We start from the raw sequence: 15,112 nt of genomic DNA, 5'->3' as shown, positions 1-15,112 counted from the left end.
TGTTGGGATTACAGGCGTGAGCCATTTTTTGTTTTTTGAGATGGCTCTATTGCCCAGGCTGGAGTGCAGTGGTGCCATCTTTGCTCAGTGCAGCCTCAACCTCTTGGGCACAAGTAATTCTCCCACCTCAGCCTCCTGAGTAGCTGGGACTACAGGTGCACACCACCACACCAGATTAATTTTTGAATTAAGATAAGGACTTTTTGTGAAACACATACAGCTGCAGTACCCCGATGATAGTTGCCAAGTCTGTGAAGTCTCTGGAACACACTCCAGCCCATGTGCAGGTCTCCCCGGTGTCTCCTGGCATAGTCACCATCCGAGGAGGGCTCTGGCCGAGGTGTTCAGGGCCTGGCTCCTCAGTTGCCCTTAACAGCTCCTTCCCTTCCCTTCAGAAACCAGGATTTTGGAGGGGGAGAGTGGACTGGGGAGATGTCTGGGACTTGTTTCAGGTTGCCAGCGGGCCCTGCCCTCAAGCCGCCTGCCTGCTCCACGGCCTGCCTTGTAGTGGCCCCGTGGCGACAGCCCCAGCCAGGCACGGCTCTGCCCTAACCCGAACTCTGCCCATACAGGGTCGTCTCCTACCAGATCCGGTATGAAGGAAACGTGACAGAGGAGACCAGAATCAAGTTCATGACGGATGGTGTGCTGCTTAAAGAAATCCAGAAGGTTGGTTGTGGATCCTGGCTCACAGAGCAAGGCCAGTGGGCATGGGGGCGGGATGCTAGGATGTCACCTGGGATATGAGCAGCCGGCAAGCCACCTGTTGATCCAGCACTCCCACGGTGCTGCTGTGTGACTTTGGGTGAGTTACTTAACCTCTCCAAGCTCAGTTTCTTGATGAGTATGTTGGTGCATTCCTTAGAGAATCATTTTGAAGCGGAAGTTGTAGAGTGCATGCTGACAGCTTAGCACAGTGGCCCGTACCTAGAAGGTGCTCGTGAAATGTGAACTTGTATTTTTATTGTGACTGACTCACAGAGTTCACGCCTTGCCGGGGGTGTACTGAAAGCCTGTGGTGTGCAGGCTCTGCCCTGCGGCGGGTCCAGACACAGCCCCCTCTTGGGAGCTTCGAGTCCAGTTGCGTTTGGTGAGGGGCAGCACCAGACTCGGAGTGGGGTACCAGCCTCAGGCTGAGGGAAAGGGGAGGGGCCGCTGGGGCTTGCCCTTGAGCGTCTTCACGGTCCCTGGCCTCAGAAGCTGCGTCCCAAGGACTTTCCATTTGTAAATCGGAACCCCAGCTGCTGCCTCCCTAGTCAGCCCACTTGGGCCTTGGGGAAGCACCCCATGCTTCCTAGGGAGCCGGCCATTCGGTCAAGTGGGTGGCACGCGTGTCCAGAGAGCATGCAGGGCCCGGGTGGGGGACTGCTGTCTGGTGAAGAAGCTGTGCTCCGTGCTGGCTGTGACGTCCCCTTGGGCAGGGCCAATCTCCCAGGGGGATGGCAAAGGTGATTCCAGCCCTCCTGGCTTTGAAGCCACTGGGACTCCTGGGGGTGGCAGTGGATGCAGTTTGGGTCTGGGTGGCCCCTGTCTGTGTGGCACCTGCTGTCCAACTGCCCACGGCCCCACCCCACATCTCATGTCCATTTCCCACCTGCCCTCCCACTCTGCGGGCATCTGAGTTGAGCAGCTCACCTCTGATGAAGAGCAGCTGCCCTTCCTCTAACACTGTCTCCTCAAGTGGGAGTTCTGGGACGTGAAGCGGCCCTTGGGGCTTAGGCTGGAAGGGTGGGCCTCACCCCGGACCTCCCCCCAGGACTTCCTGCTGCTGCGGTACAAGGTGGTGATCATCGACGAGGCCCACGAGAGGAGCGTGTACACGGACATCCTCATCGGCCTCCTGTCCCGCATTGTGACTCTCCGGGCTAAGGTAGCGCAGGAGGCGGGTGCTGGGGAGCCCCGAGCCCTAGGCCCCCCCCAGCTCTGTCAGAGGCTTGGGCTTCCTTCACCTGTTCCCCGTTGTACCCTGGGCTGCTGCCATGAGCAGGTACCCCGAGCACAAGGTCTCCCTGGGCCTAGGTCTAGGCCTAGTGCCAGGGCTGTGAATCTTGGAACAGCCCCTGTGTGATCCCCTCCCCACCGCCCCGGTGCCAGCCTCATAAACTGGTGTCCTTCTCCCCATCCAAAGCAAGAGGCTCAGGAGAAGTGTTGATGCCTTGCCAGGCGCAATGGGGCTGGTTGATGAGGCCTCTGGGCCTCTGGGATCAGCAGAGCAGGTGGGCCTGCCCAGCCAAGGGCCAGGCTCCCGGAGCTCTGAGAGGGGCTCCCCAGGGCCTCTTTCTCCATCTCCCTGCCCCAGCCTGACACAGGGGCCTGCTGAGTTGGTGGGTGCCACCCTGGGGCGCGGCTTCATGCAGTAGGCCTGTCTCACCCTCCCGGCGGGGAGAGGGGCCTGCGCTCCACATGTGCCATGAGCCTGGCCACATTCAAGGCCCTGAAAATCAACAGTGAACAAGACGCTGTCTTGTTCTAACAGTTCCTGCCCTCCTGGGGCCTCCACTTCAGCAAGGGTGGCAGGCAGGACGCAGACTCAGAGTATGTGAGCCAGTGACAGACAAAGCCGGGGGCAGTGGAGGGAGGACACAGGGCTAGTGAGGGCTTCACCCGAAAAGTGACCTCTGAGCTCAAGTGGAAGGCTGAATGAGGGAGGGAGTGAGCGGCGTGCATTGCAGAGCGAGGAGAAGTCTGACTGGAGGAGAGCAATGCAAAGGTCCTGAGGCGGGCGTCTGCCTGGTGCCTTTTTTCTTTTGGTAACAAGCTTTATTGGGCTGTGATTCACATTTCATATCATTCATCTGTTCAAATGTACAATTCAGTGGTTTTTAGTCCGTTCACAGAGTGTGCAGCCATCACCACAGTTTTATATTTTGTCACTCATCAATCCAACAAGAAACCCTAGGCCGGGCACGGTGGCTCACGCCTGTAATCCCAGCACTGTGGGATGCTGAGGCGGGTGGATCACTTGAGGTCAGGAGTTCAAGACCAGCCTGGCCAACATGGTGAAACCCTGTCTCTACTAAAAAAACGAAAAATTAGCCAGGCCTGGTGGCGCACACCTGTAATCTCAACTACTCGGGAGGCTGAGGCAGGAGAATCACTTGAACCCAGCGGGTGGAGCTTGCAGTGAGCCGCGATCGCGCCACTGCACTCCAGCCTGGGTGAGAAAGCGAGACTTCATCTGAAAAACAAAAACAAAAAGAAACGCTGTGCCTTTTATGGTTTTTTGTGGTGGTGGTTTTTGTTTTTTTTTTTCGAGGCAGGGTCTCATTGTCACTGAGGCTGGAGTGCAGCGGTGCAATCACAGCTCACTGCAACCCCGACCTTCTGGGCTTAAGGAATCCTTTTGCCTCAGCCTCCCAAGAAGCTGGACCATGGTCACTCTGTGTGTAACCATTTGCAAATGATTTCCCCCAGCGGCTGCAGAATTCCATGGTACTTCCGCACCAGCAGTGTCAGAGCTTCCAGTTTCTCCACATCCTGCCAGCACTTGTCGTTTTCCATTTCTGTTATTCTAGACATCCCTGTGGGTGGACAGTGACACCTCACTGTGGCCTTGGTTTATGTCTTTGGGGGCCATCAGGAAGTCTAGAGTGGCCAAGCAGAGAGGGTGAGGTGGGGTCCGGAAGGCACGGGGGTGAGGCAGACAGGGACGGTCACTGTGGGGCAAGAGAGGGGCCTGTGCTGGGTGTCCTGCCTCCCACAGAGGTGCTTTGGCCACTCCTTAGCTTCTGGGTTTGGGGTTTCGTAGCAGCAAAGGCAGCAAGAGCTTGAAGCAGAGCTCACCATGAGGCCATTAGGCATTGCTGAGCGGCCTGGGGACCAGGGAGCTCCCGGGAGCTCTCTCCCACCCCCCACAGACCCCAGAGAATCAGGCAGCTCTTCCCTGAGCCCCCGGCACAGACACTCAGTCAATCTTGGTGTCAGGTGGGAGCTGGGTTGGGTGGGCCCCAGTCTCAGCCCACCTGCCTCATATTCTACCATCAAAGCCTGACTCTGAAAGACCCCCTGGAACAAGCCACCGCCCTGGGAGCGGCAGGTCCCACTATTGACTCACTTTCTCCAAGGAGCCTTTGGCATCCAGAAAGGGGCAGAGGGTGGGGGCTGGAAACGGGGTGGGCAGCAGGGCACCCCCATGCCGATTTCCCAGGCTTCAGACCCACCTGCGGTCCTGGGGCCACGGTCACTGAGCCTGTCCTTTTGCAGAGGAACCTGCCACTCAAGCTGCTCATCATGTCGGCCACGCTGCGGGTGGAGGACTTCACCCAGAACCCACGGCTCTTCGCCAAGCCGCCGCCGGTCATCAAGGTAACACAGGGTCCCATGTCCTCTGTGAGCTTGGATGGCACAAGGACGCCCTGGTGTCGGGAGCCCCCTGAGAGACCTCACTTGGTCACAGGGGGGATTGACAGCAGCTTGGAGGGGGTGTTAGAAACCTTGATTCGGAATAATGGGGAAAGGGAAGGCAGCCCTGGGCCGAAGCTCGTGTCCCCCCCACTCCCCATGCCTTCCTGGGCGTCCCACAGGTGGAATCCAGGCAGTTCCCAGTGACTGTGCATTTCAACAAGCGGACACCGCTGGAAGACTACAGTGGCGAGTGCTTCCGGAAGGTCTGCAAGATCCACCGGATGCTGCCCGCAGGTGAGGCCCTGGCCAGGTCAGGGGAAAGAAGCCTCCCTTCCTAAACCCTCGCTGAAAGCACGAGTGTGGGAGGGCCCATCTCCGAGTGGCTCAGAAAAGTCCCTTGACCCTGCCAGGCCTCGGCTTCCTCACTTATTCCAGAGTGTTCATGACACCTGTCTGGCCTTATTCCACTCCAAATACTATGAGGCTTCAGCAGCTACCAGATGGTGGAGCTTGCCATCTGTCCCCATCTGATAAGCAGAAAAACCCACAGGGCCCAGGCCAGTGCTGGCAGGTGACCATAGACACTGTAGGGGAACGGGCACATCCCCCCAAGAGTCACGGATACCCTTCACAGTTCTGCCTTGTCCCCATCATACCTGCTCCGTTACCCACCTCATGTTACTGAAATGGATGTGACCTTTCTGTGTGAATAGATTGTGATCGCTTCCAGCCAGACTTTTTTTTTTTGAGACGGAGTTTTACTCTTGTTGCCCAGGCTGGAGTGCAGTGGCAGATCTTGGCTCACTGCAACCTCCACCTCCCGGGTTCAAGTGATTCTCCTGCCTCAGCCTCCCAAGTAGCTGGGATTACAGGTCCCACACTGGTCGCACACTGCCACGCCTGGCTAATTTTTTGTATTTTAGTAGAGATGGGGTTTCATCATGTTGGCCGGGCTGGTCTCGAACTCCTGACCTCAGGTGAGCTGCCTGCCTCAGCCTCCCAAAGTGCTGGAATTACAAGTGTGAGCCACTGCACCCAGCCTAGCCAGAGACTCTTGTGTGCCGAATTTGGGCCCAAGGCTGGCTTTCTTCATGTTAGGGAGGCAAGGAGCCATGGGGGTGCTTCCCAACAAGCTTGACCTCGTCCTTCAAGGAAGCCGAGGTTGCTGCTTCGTGATGCTCTGTCCTTGCTCTGCTTATGGCCTTTCGGGGCTCCCATCCATTCTCTGGGAGACTGGGGCTGGCAGGAGGTGAGGCTGGAGCTTGGGCAGTGAGCCTTCCTGCAGCCTCAGGTCTCAGGGCAGCCGCGGCGCTGTCACTGTCGTGAGTGTGGTGTGCAGGGTTCCGTGTGAGCACGCTTCTCAGGGCTTTTGGGTCTGTTCCTGGGAGTGATGCTGCTGGGCTGTGCAGTCGCCGTGTTTGTTGAACTCCCTGGCGGCAGCTGCTTCAGTCTGGGCGTGCTGCCCCCTGCTCATCTATGTCTGTGTACTCCTGTCCTCCCCCATTATCCCTGGAACCTTGCCTCTCAGAGCATGGCTTGGCAGGTGCTTTTGCTAAGCAAATGTTTGTGAGTGACTGATGGATAACAGAGGGGCCCATTCTTTCCACAGGTGGCATCCTGGTGTTCCTGACGGGGCAGGCTGAGGTGCATGCGCTGTGCCGCAGGCTCAGGAAGGCTTTCCCACCCTCCAGAGCCCGGCCACAAGGTAAAGAGGACGCCCCGACCAGCACTCTGCCCTGAGCAGCTGGGCTTGGCCTCGCGCTCCCTGGCTGGGGTGCAGCTCCTGCCTCTGAGCTTCTCTCTGGAAGCATCAGCACCTTTGCCATCCCCCACCTCACCCCCGAATAAATGGCCACCACTGAGTGGCCATGCCTTGAACAACAAAGGGCAGTGTGCTGGCGACCACGCCGGCCACAGACGCCTTTCTCCCCAACCTGCCCCTCTCCCAGAAAAGGACGACGATCAGAAAGACTCGGTGGAGGAAATGCGGAAGTTTAAGAAGTCAAGGGCCAGGGCCAAGAAGGCGCGGGCTGAGGTACGTGGGGGGCTGGCAGGGACTCCTGGAGAGTAAGGCTGCGTTGTCCAGGATGGCAGCTACCAGCCCCATGTGGCTGCTTAGGTTTAAGTGTAATTGGAATAAAATGAAGTTAAAAATCCAGTTCCTGGTCAGGCACAGTGGCTCATGCCTGTAATTCCAGCACTTTGGGAGGCCAAGGTGGGAGGATCGCTTGAGGCCTAGAGTTTGAGACCAGCTTGGGCAACATGGTGAGACCATGTCTCTACAAAAAATTTTTTAGATTAATCCAGTGCAGTGGCGCATGCCTGTGGTCCCAGCTGCTCAGAGGCTGAGGTGGGAGAACCATCTGAGCCCAGGAGGTCAAGGCTGCAATGAGCTGTGATGGTCCCACTGCACTCTAGCCTGGGCAACAGAGTGAGACTCTGTCTCAGAAATGGAAAAGAAGGCCAGGCGTGGTGGCTACGCCTGTAATCCCAGCACTTTGGGAGACTGAGGCAGGTGGATCACCTGAGGTCAGGAGTTCAAGTCCAACCTGACCAACATGGCGAAACCCTGTCTCTACTAAAAATACAAAATTAGCCAGGCATGGTGGTGTGCACCTGTACTCCCAGCTACTCTGGGATGGCTGGGCTGGCAGGGGCTTTCCTCTAGCCTCTGCGTGAAGGCACCGTGGGTCTTGTGCTCCGTGACGGTAGCGTAAGCACTCAGCCGTCTCTGACTTGCCTGTTGCACTACCGATGTGTCAGGCAGCGATCCAGGTTCCTCACGTGTGTTCACACAACCCTCCCACCAGCCTGGGAGACAAGGTCTATGATAGTCCCCAATGTTTAGGTGGGGAAATTCTGGCAGGAAGAGAGAATTATGTGGCCTGCCCCGGGTTGCATGGCCCATGGGTGTGGACCGGGGCTTCCATGCGAGGGCACCTGTCTTCCTGCACGTGCCACGTCCTCACACCCAGGATCCCTGCAGCCCAGGTGTCTATGTCTTGTTCGCCGTAGGTGCTGCCCCAGATCAACTTGGATCATTACTCGGTGTTACCGGCAGGCGAAGGCGATGAGGACAGGGAGGCAGAAGTGGATGAGGAAGAGGGGGCCCTGGACTCCGACCTCGATCTGGACCTGGGGGATGGCGGGCAAGATGGAGGTGTGGCCCGAGCACCGATTCCTGCTCATGTTCATTATCTCTGCCCTGAGGATGTGCCCAGAGCCCTTGTGGGCCCCCCGGGGGCCGGGGTTCTAGCAGCTTTGTCCCCGATGCTTCCTGAGTTCTTGAAACTGCCTGGCACGAGGAGGCCTCAAACATTTGCCATGTTGAATGTAATGGGGGCTGCCAACCCCTTGCTGAGGGACGCAGGCCTTCAGAGCCTGGGGGTGTTGCCCAGCTCCGTGTGCTCGCAGGGGCCCCCTGAATGCAGGCAGACCCAGTGCCCTGCTGTGCCCAGCCAGGGGCTGAGTGGGGCAGCAGAGAGTACCCCAGTACGGGCTCAGCCTGACCCCACCACAATGCTGCCAGGACACGAGGAGTGGAGTCAGGCTCCCGGGATCCATGCCAGGGGTTTGGAGGAGGAGATTGTGCAGCACAGGGGTTCAGATCCGGTTCAGGGCAGCAGAGACAAGAGAGCCCCTGGGAACCTCTCAGCAGTTCCCCCAGGCTTGGCCTGGCTGGTCCCAAGGGGAGCCTCTGCAGCAGGGCAAAGAAAGGAGCTCTGGTGGAGCAGCCTGGGGGTGCAGGGCCGCTGTGGCCAGCTCCTGCCTGTGGGCATCTGTCCCGGCCTGGGTGCCAGTGACCTCTGCTTTCCCTCCAGGTGAGCAGCCGGATGCCTCCCTCCCGCTCCACGTGCTCCCGCTGTACTCTCTGCTGGCCCCAGAGAAGCAAGCACAGGTAACCGTGCTGGGCCGGTGCCCAGCTTTTGGGGCACTTTTAAGGGCATTACAGTGGGGTTGGTCAAGCCCTTGGTGGTCCTCTCCATCTGCTGTTTGATCAGCATCCCCAGAGTTTTGAGGAATATTGGGGTAGTTTTGGAGAATAGGGAACCCTCCCCCAAGGCACTGGGCCCCAGATGGGATGGCTTGTCCTTGCTACGTCTCCAGCACACCAGCCTGGCTGGCTTTGTCCTTGAGCCTCCATTCCACGATTTCTTTTCTGATTCTGGTGTTTTCCTGCCATCCCTTCCCCGAATCCTAGGTCTTTAAGCCTCCACCGGAGGGGACTCGGTTGTGTGTTGTGGCCACCAATGTGGCCGAGACGTCGCTTACCATCCCTGGCATCAAGTACGTGGTGGACTGTGGGAAGGTCAAGAAACGCTACTACGACCGCGTCACTGGCGTATCCTCCTTCCGTGTCACCTGGGTCTCCCAGGCATCAGCTGACCAGCGAGCGGGCAGAGCAGGACGGACGGAGCCCGGCCACTGCTACAGGTGGGTCACCCAGGCTCCTCCTCAGGGACGTTGGTGCCGCCTTGCAATAGCCACTGAGGAACAAGGGAAGGATGCTGACCCCCACCTCCATCTGTAGTATGTTCCGTGTCCTGCCGGGCCCCTGTGACTTTGGGGTGCTCCCCAGCCCTTTTGCTGGCTTTCAGATACTCACACTATTTTTTTTTTTTTTTTTTTTTTGAGATGGAGTTTCACTCTTGTCACCCAGGCTGGAATGCAATGGCGTGATCTCGACTCACTGCAACCTCCACCTCCTACGTTGAAGCAATTCTCCTGCCTTAGCCTCCCAAATAGCTGGGATTACTGGTGTGCGCCACCACGCCCAGCTAATTTGTGTATTTTTATTATATGTATTTATTTATTTTAATTTTTGTATTTTTAGTAGAGACGGGGTTTCAGCATGTTGGCCAGACTGGTCTCGAACTCCTGAGTTCAGGTGAGCCACCATGCCTGGCCTACTCGCACTGTTTCTTTTTTTTTTTTTTTTTTTTTTTTTTGAGACGAGTCTCACTCTGTCGCCCAGGCTGGAGTGCCGTGGCGTGATCTTGGCTCACTGGAAGCTCCACCTCCCGGGTTCACGCCATTCTCTTGCCTCAGCCTCCCGAGTAGCTGGGACTACAGGCACCTGCCACCACGCCCGGCTAATTTTTTTTTTTTTTTTTGTATTTTTAGTAGAGATGGGTTTTCACCGTGTTAGCCAGGATGGTCTCGATCTCCTGACCTCGTGATCCACCCGCCTCGGCCTCCCAAAGTGTTGGGATCACAGGCGTGAGCCACCGTGCCCGGCCACTGTTTCTTTATTCTGCTACTGAGGTCAGGGGCAGCTCTTGAGTGCTGTTTGTTAACAGCTTGATCAGGATATAATTCACATACCATAAAGTACATAATTTTAAAGCATACAATCCAGGAGTTTTTAGGACAGTCACAGAGTTGTGCAACCATCACCACAATCAATGTCAGAACTTCCCATCAACCCAAAAAGAAACCCCGTGACCACTGCAGTCACCCCCCTTCTTCCCCGCCCCAGCCTGTGGCAAGCATCAGTCCACTAGTTTTTGTCTATAGGGATGTGCCTGTTGTGGGCAATTCAGATAAATGCAATAAAGTCATACAAGGTGTGGCCCCTCGTGTCTGGCCTCTGCCGCTCAGCACGGTGAGTTTTCAAGGCTCACCCCGGGTGGCAGGTGTCAGCACCCCGTTCCTGGCCGTGGCTGAATGATATCACACCATATGGATGTGCCGAGTTTTGTTTGTCTGTTCATCAGCTGGTGGACGTTTGGTTGTTTTCACCTCTTGGCTATTGTGGATAGTGCTGCTCTGAACACTCAGGTGCAAGGATTTGTCTGGCTCCGGTTTCATTGCTCTTGCAGTGGAACCTAAGAGAACCGCTGGGCCGTATGGTAACTCTGGGTTTAACTTACCGAGGAGCCACCAAACTGTTTTCCACAGCAGCTGCCCCATTTGACATGCCTACCAACAGTGAATGAGGGTTTCAGTTTCTTCACGTCCTCACCAGCACTTTTTAATTTTTTTTTTTTTGAGATGGAGTCTCGCTATGTCACCCAGGCTGGAGTGCAGTGGTGCAATCTCAGCTCACTGCAACCTCTGCCTCCTGGGTTCAAGCAGTTCTCCTGCCTCAGCCTCCCGAGTAGCTGGAATGATAGGCATGCACCACCATGTGCATATAATTTGTTTGTTTGTTTGTTTGTTTTGTTTTTGAGACTGAGTCTCACTGTTGTCGGCCTGGGCTAGAATGCAATGGTTCAATCTCAGCTCACTGCAACCTCCGCTTCCAGGATTCCAGCAATTCTCCTGCCTCAGCCTCCCAAGTAGCTGAGATTACAGGTGCCCACCACCACGCCCAGCTAATTTTTGTATTTTTAGTAGAGATGGGGGTTCACCATGTTGACCGGGCTGGTCTTGAACTCCTGACCTCAGGTGATCCACCTGCCTCAGCCTCCCAAAGTGCTGGGATTGCAGGCATTAGCCACGGCGCCCGGCCAATTCTTAGATTTTTAGTAGAGACGGGGTTTCACCATGTTGGCCAGGCTGGTCTTGAACACCTGCCTCAGCCTCCCAAAGTGCTGGGATTATAGGCATGAACCACCACGCCTGGCCAGCACCAACACTTATTTTTAATATTTTTGTTTTGCTGGGGTTTTTTTTGAGAGACAAAGTCTCACTCTGTTGCTCAGGCTGGAGTTCAGTGGCCCAAGTATAGCTCACTGCAGCCTCCGCCTCCTGGGCTCAAGCAGTCTTCGTGCCTCAGCCTCCCAAGTAGCTGGGAGTAGAGGCACGTGGCACTGTGCCTGGCTTCAGGTGTTTTTTTTGTTTTGTTTTAATGTGTGACTATTTCCTGTCACACACAGCCCTGCCCTGGTCCTGAGAACAGGTGCCCTTACCTCACCCACCCCCACTTTTTTTTTAATATGAAAGCTTCAGTATTTTTGAGCCTAGCTCTCCTAGTGGATGTGAAGTGGTATCATATTGTGGATTCGGTTTATGTTTCCCTAATGACTAATGAAGGCCTCTTTTCATGTACTTATTGGCCCTTTATGCATCTTTCTAGGGAACTGCCTATTCAGATCTTTTGCTCATTTTTTAATTAGGTTATTTGTCCTTTTATTATTGATCTGTAAGAGTTCTTTAGGCCAGGCGCCATGGCTCACGCCTGTAATCCCAGCACTTTGGGAGGATGAGGCGGGCAGATCACAAGGTCAGGAGTTCAAGACCAGCCTGGCCAACATAGTGAAACCCTGTCTCTACTAAAAATACAAAAATTAGCTGGGCATGGTGGCATGCACTTGTAATCCCAGCTACTTGGGAGGCTGAGGCAGGAGAATCACTTGAACCTGGGAGGCAGAGGTTGCAGTGAGCCAAGATCATGCCCCTGCACTCCAGCTTGGGCGACAGAGCGAGACTTCATCTCAAAAACAAAAAAAGTTCTTTATATAATATAATCTGGATATTAGATCCTAATCAAATGTGTCATTGACAAATATTTTCTCCTAATCCGTGTGCTGTAATTGTGTGTGTGTGTGCGTGCACGTGTGTATGTAAGTGTGTGTGCGTGCGTGCACGCGTGTAAGTGTGTGTGCGTGCACGCGTGTATGTGTGTGCGTGCGTGCACGCGTGTATGTGTGTGTGCGTGCGTGTGCGTGCGTGCACACGTGTATGTGTGTGTGTGCGTGCGCGCATGCGCGCGTGTATGTAAGTGTGTGTGCGTGCGTGCACGCGTGTATGTAATAAATAGCTTTATTGCTGTTCCTTTTGTCAGGGCTACATGTTAGTTAAAAAGTAGAAAATTTAGAAAATTTACAAAGAAAACCAGTAAGAAGTAACTGTAGTTAAAGTGTAGAGTGCTATGCACCATCCCCTGTTTTAAGTACTCTACATGGAATAATACCTTTTCTTTTGGTTTTGAGACGGAGTCTCGCTCTGTCGCCCAGGCTGGAGTACAGTGGCACCATCTGGCTCACCCCAACCTTTGCCTCCTGGGTTCAAGTGATTCTCCTGCCTCAGCCTCCCGAGTAGCTGGGACTACAGATGCACGTCACCGTGCCTGGCTAATTTTTGTATTTTTAGTAGAGATGGGGGTTTCCCCATGTTGGCCAGGCTGGTCTTGAACTCCTGACCTCAAGTGATCCACCCACCCCAGCCTTCCAAAGTGCTGAGATTACAGGTGTGTGCCGCCACACCCAGCCAGTGGAATAATAGCTAATTAATTTTCACCAATTCCTTACGAGGCAGCTGCAATTTGAGCTGCATTTCACAGGTGAGGAGAATGAGGCAGGAAGCGGTAAAGCACCGTGCCTGCTGTCAGGTGAAGATCCAGTCCCAGTGGCATGACTGAGTTTTGTTTGTTGTCCCGGTTTCTGTCTGCCCAGGCTGTATTCATCTGTGGTTTTTGGTGTGAGTTTTGTGTTTGTTGTCCCGGTTTCTCTCCATCCAGGCTGTATTCATCTGCGGTTTTTGGTGACTTCGAGCAGTTTCCTCCTCCAGAAATCACCCGGAGGCCTGTTGAAGACTTAATCCTTCAAATGAAGGCGCTCAACGTTGAAAAGGTCAGTTGCTGCCCCCAGCCCCGCTCTCAGCCACCCCAGTGGACCACCTCCCTTTCCCTGAGGCAGGGAGCCCAGAGCTGGGTCTGCTGGTGCCTGGCCTGCGGCAGCTGCTTACACAACAGTGCATCAGCAGGTGCTCCCAGGGCTTCTGGGCTCCTGTGACCGCTGCCTCCCCAGTGCTGCATCGCCCGTGGACACCCAGGGGATGGCTGTCTGGAATAGAGGCAGCAGGGTCCTGCACGCTGTTCATGTACTATCCGTCCGTGGGGCGTGCAGAACGTGCTGCCGGCTCTTCCTGGCTGCAGCCTTCTCCGACCCAGTCCTCCAGTGGAGGGGGGGATCCCTCTAGGGTCACCCTCCCTCCCCCTGCTCCAGGGCAGGCTAAGCCAGGCAGTGCCCCGTGCCACGCTGCGTGCTGTCCTGTGGGCGTTCAGATCCCCATTTAACTGATGAGGAAACGGAGGCAGGGAAGTGAAGGTTTTTGTCCAGGGACACACATCTAGTAAGTGACAGAACCCACATGGTCTCCTAGTGCCTTTTAAACATCTGTGCTCACTGATTTTTCTGGATGTTAATATGTTCAAAATCATAAAAACTTCAGATACTTGAGATCATCAGGGAGAAGGTGAAGCCCGTCCCACTGTCCGCCATTTGTGACCTGTGTCCCAGTTACGTTTCCAAACACATAACATCCTGTACTTTATTCCTGTGGTTTTGTGAATATTGTCTGATATGTTACACGCTGCTTTGGGGGCTTGATTTTTTCACCTAATAAAAATCATGGGTGCTGGCCGGGCCTGGTGGCTCACACCTGTAATCCTAGCACTTTGGGAGGCTGAGACATGTGGATTAGTTGAGGTCAGGAATTTGAGACCAGCCTGGCTAACATGGCAAAACCCCGTCTCTACTAAAAATACAAAAAAAAAAATTAGCCAGGGAGGCTGGGCGTGGTGGCTCACGCCTGTAATCTCAGCACTTTGGAAGGCCGAGGCAGGTGGATCACAAAGTCAGGAGTTCAAGACCAGCTTGGCCAACAAGGTGAAACCCCGTCTCTAGTAAAGATACAAAAAATTAGCTGAGTGTGGTGGCACACGCCTGTAATCCCAGCTACTCAGGAGGCTGAGGCAGGATAATCACTTGAACCCGGGAGGCGGAGGTTGCAATGGGCCGAGATTGTGCCATTGCACTCCAGCCTGGGTGACAGGGCGAGACTCCGTCTCCAAAAAAAAAAAAAAAAAGCCAGGTGTGGTGACAGGTGCCTATAATCCCAGCTACTTGGGAGGCTGAGGCAGGAGAATCACTGGAACCTGGGAGGCAGAGGTTGCAGTGAGCCAAGATCATGCCGTTGCACTCCAGACTGGGAGACAGAGCAAGACTCCGTCCCAAAAAAAAAAAAAAAAAGCTGGGTGCATTGGCTCACAGCACTTTGGGAGGCCGAGGCGGGTGGATCACAACATCAGGAGCTCGAGACCAGCCTGGCCAATATGGTGAAACTCCGTCTCTACTAAAAATATAAAAATTAGCCAGGCGTGATGGTGGGCACCTGTAGTTCCAGCTACTCGGGAGGCTGAGGCAGGAGAATTCTTGAACCCAAGAGGCAGAGGTTGCAGTGAGCCGAGATCACGCCGTTGCACTCTAGCCTGGGCGATATAGCAAGACTCCATCTCACAAAAAAAAAGAAAAAAAAGAATCATGGATGCCAAGTATGTGCTGGGCGTTCAGCACGTGTGACCTCAGGTTATCCTCCCAGCCACTCTAGGAGGGAGTTACTAGTGTTATCACCCCATTTTCCAGATGAGGAGCCTGAGACACTGAGACAGGCCTGACTGTGGGTCACGTGGATAAAAAGTGTCAGGGCTGGGCTGGGAGCTCAGTGTGGCTGGGAGCACTGTCGGGAGTGCCTCCCACAAGTGACATCAAGTCCACTCTGTAGAAACTCCGCAGTGGCTTCCCCTGGCTCTTGAGTCAGCTCCAGAGCAGGCCCCCTCCTGCCTTCCCCCAGACCTGGGTTCCTAGCATTGCCTCCTTACCTGCGTGCCTGCTGCAGGCTCACCACCCCGCCTCTAGCTTTATTGAGATAGAGTTCAGGCACCACACAGTCACCCATTGAAAGTGTGTGGGTCAGTAGTTTCCAGTGTGTTCACAAAGTTGTGCGGACATCACCACCGTGGCCATTTTCATCACCCCAGAAAGGAAGCATGTACCCTTTATCTGTCACCACCTCCCAGCTCCCTGGCCCCTGTGCCCACTCC

The 15,112-nt window shown here is 55.0% G+C and overlaps 1 protein-coding gene across 5 annotated transcripts in view; it reads left to right on the top strand.

Moving 5' to 3' along the window:
- Positions 1 to 15,112, top strand: part of DHX37 (DEAH-box helicase 37) — a 42,306-nt gene that overhangs the window by 15,960 nt on the left and 11,234 nt on the right. For all 5 annotated transcript variants that reach the window (NM_032656.4, XM_005253590.4, XM_047429218.1 and 2 more), the window contains exons 7-16: positions 573 to 669; positions 1,757 to 1,870; positions 4,204 to 4,305; positions 4,524 to 4,638; positions 5,954 to 6,049; positions 6,294 to 6,379; positions 7,360 to 7,504; positions 8,166 to 8,242; positions 8,546 to 8,778; positions 12,749 to 12,860. In NM_032656.4, coding sequence (NP_116045.2) covers positions 573 to 669; positions 1,757 to 1,870; positions 4,204 to 4,305; positions 4,524 to 4,638; positions 5,954 to 6,049; positions 6,294 to 6,379; positions 7,360 to 7,504; positions 8,166 to 8,242; positions 8,546 to 8,778; positions 12,749 to 12,860 — 1,177 coding nt within the window. The remainder of the gene's footprint in view (positions 1 to 572; positions 670 to 1,756; positions 1,871 to 4,203; positions 4,306 to 4,523; positions 4,639 to 5,953; positions 6,050 to 6,293; positions 6,380 to 7,359; positions 7,505 to 8,165; positions 8,243 to 8,545; positions 8,779 to 12,748; positions 12,861 to 15,112) is intronic.

The sequence above is a fragment of the Homo sapiens genome, chromosome 12 (assembly GCF_000001405.40).
Source record: "Homo sapiens chromosome 12, GRCh38.p14 Primary Assembly".
Taxonomy (NCBI): Eukaryota; Metazoa; Chordata; class Mammalia; order Primates; family Hominidae; genus Homo; species Homo sapiens.
Note: the sequence above shows the minus strand (reverse complement) of the source record. Positions and strands in the feature narration are given on the sequence as shown.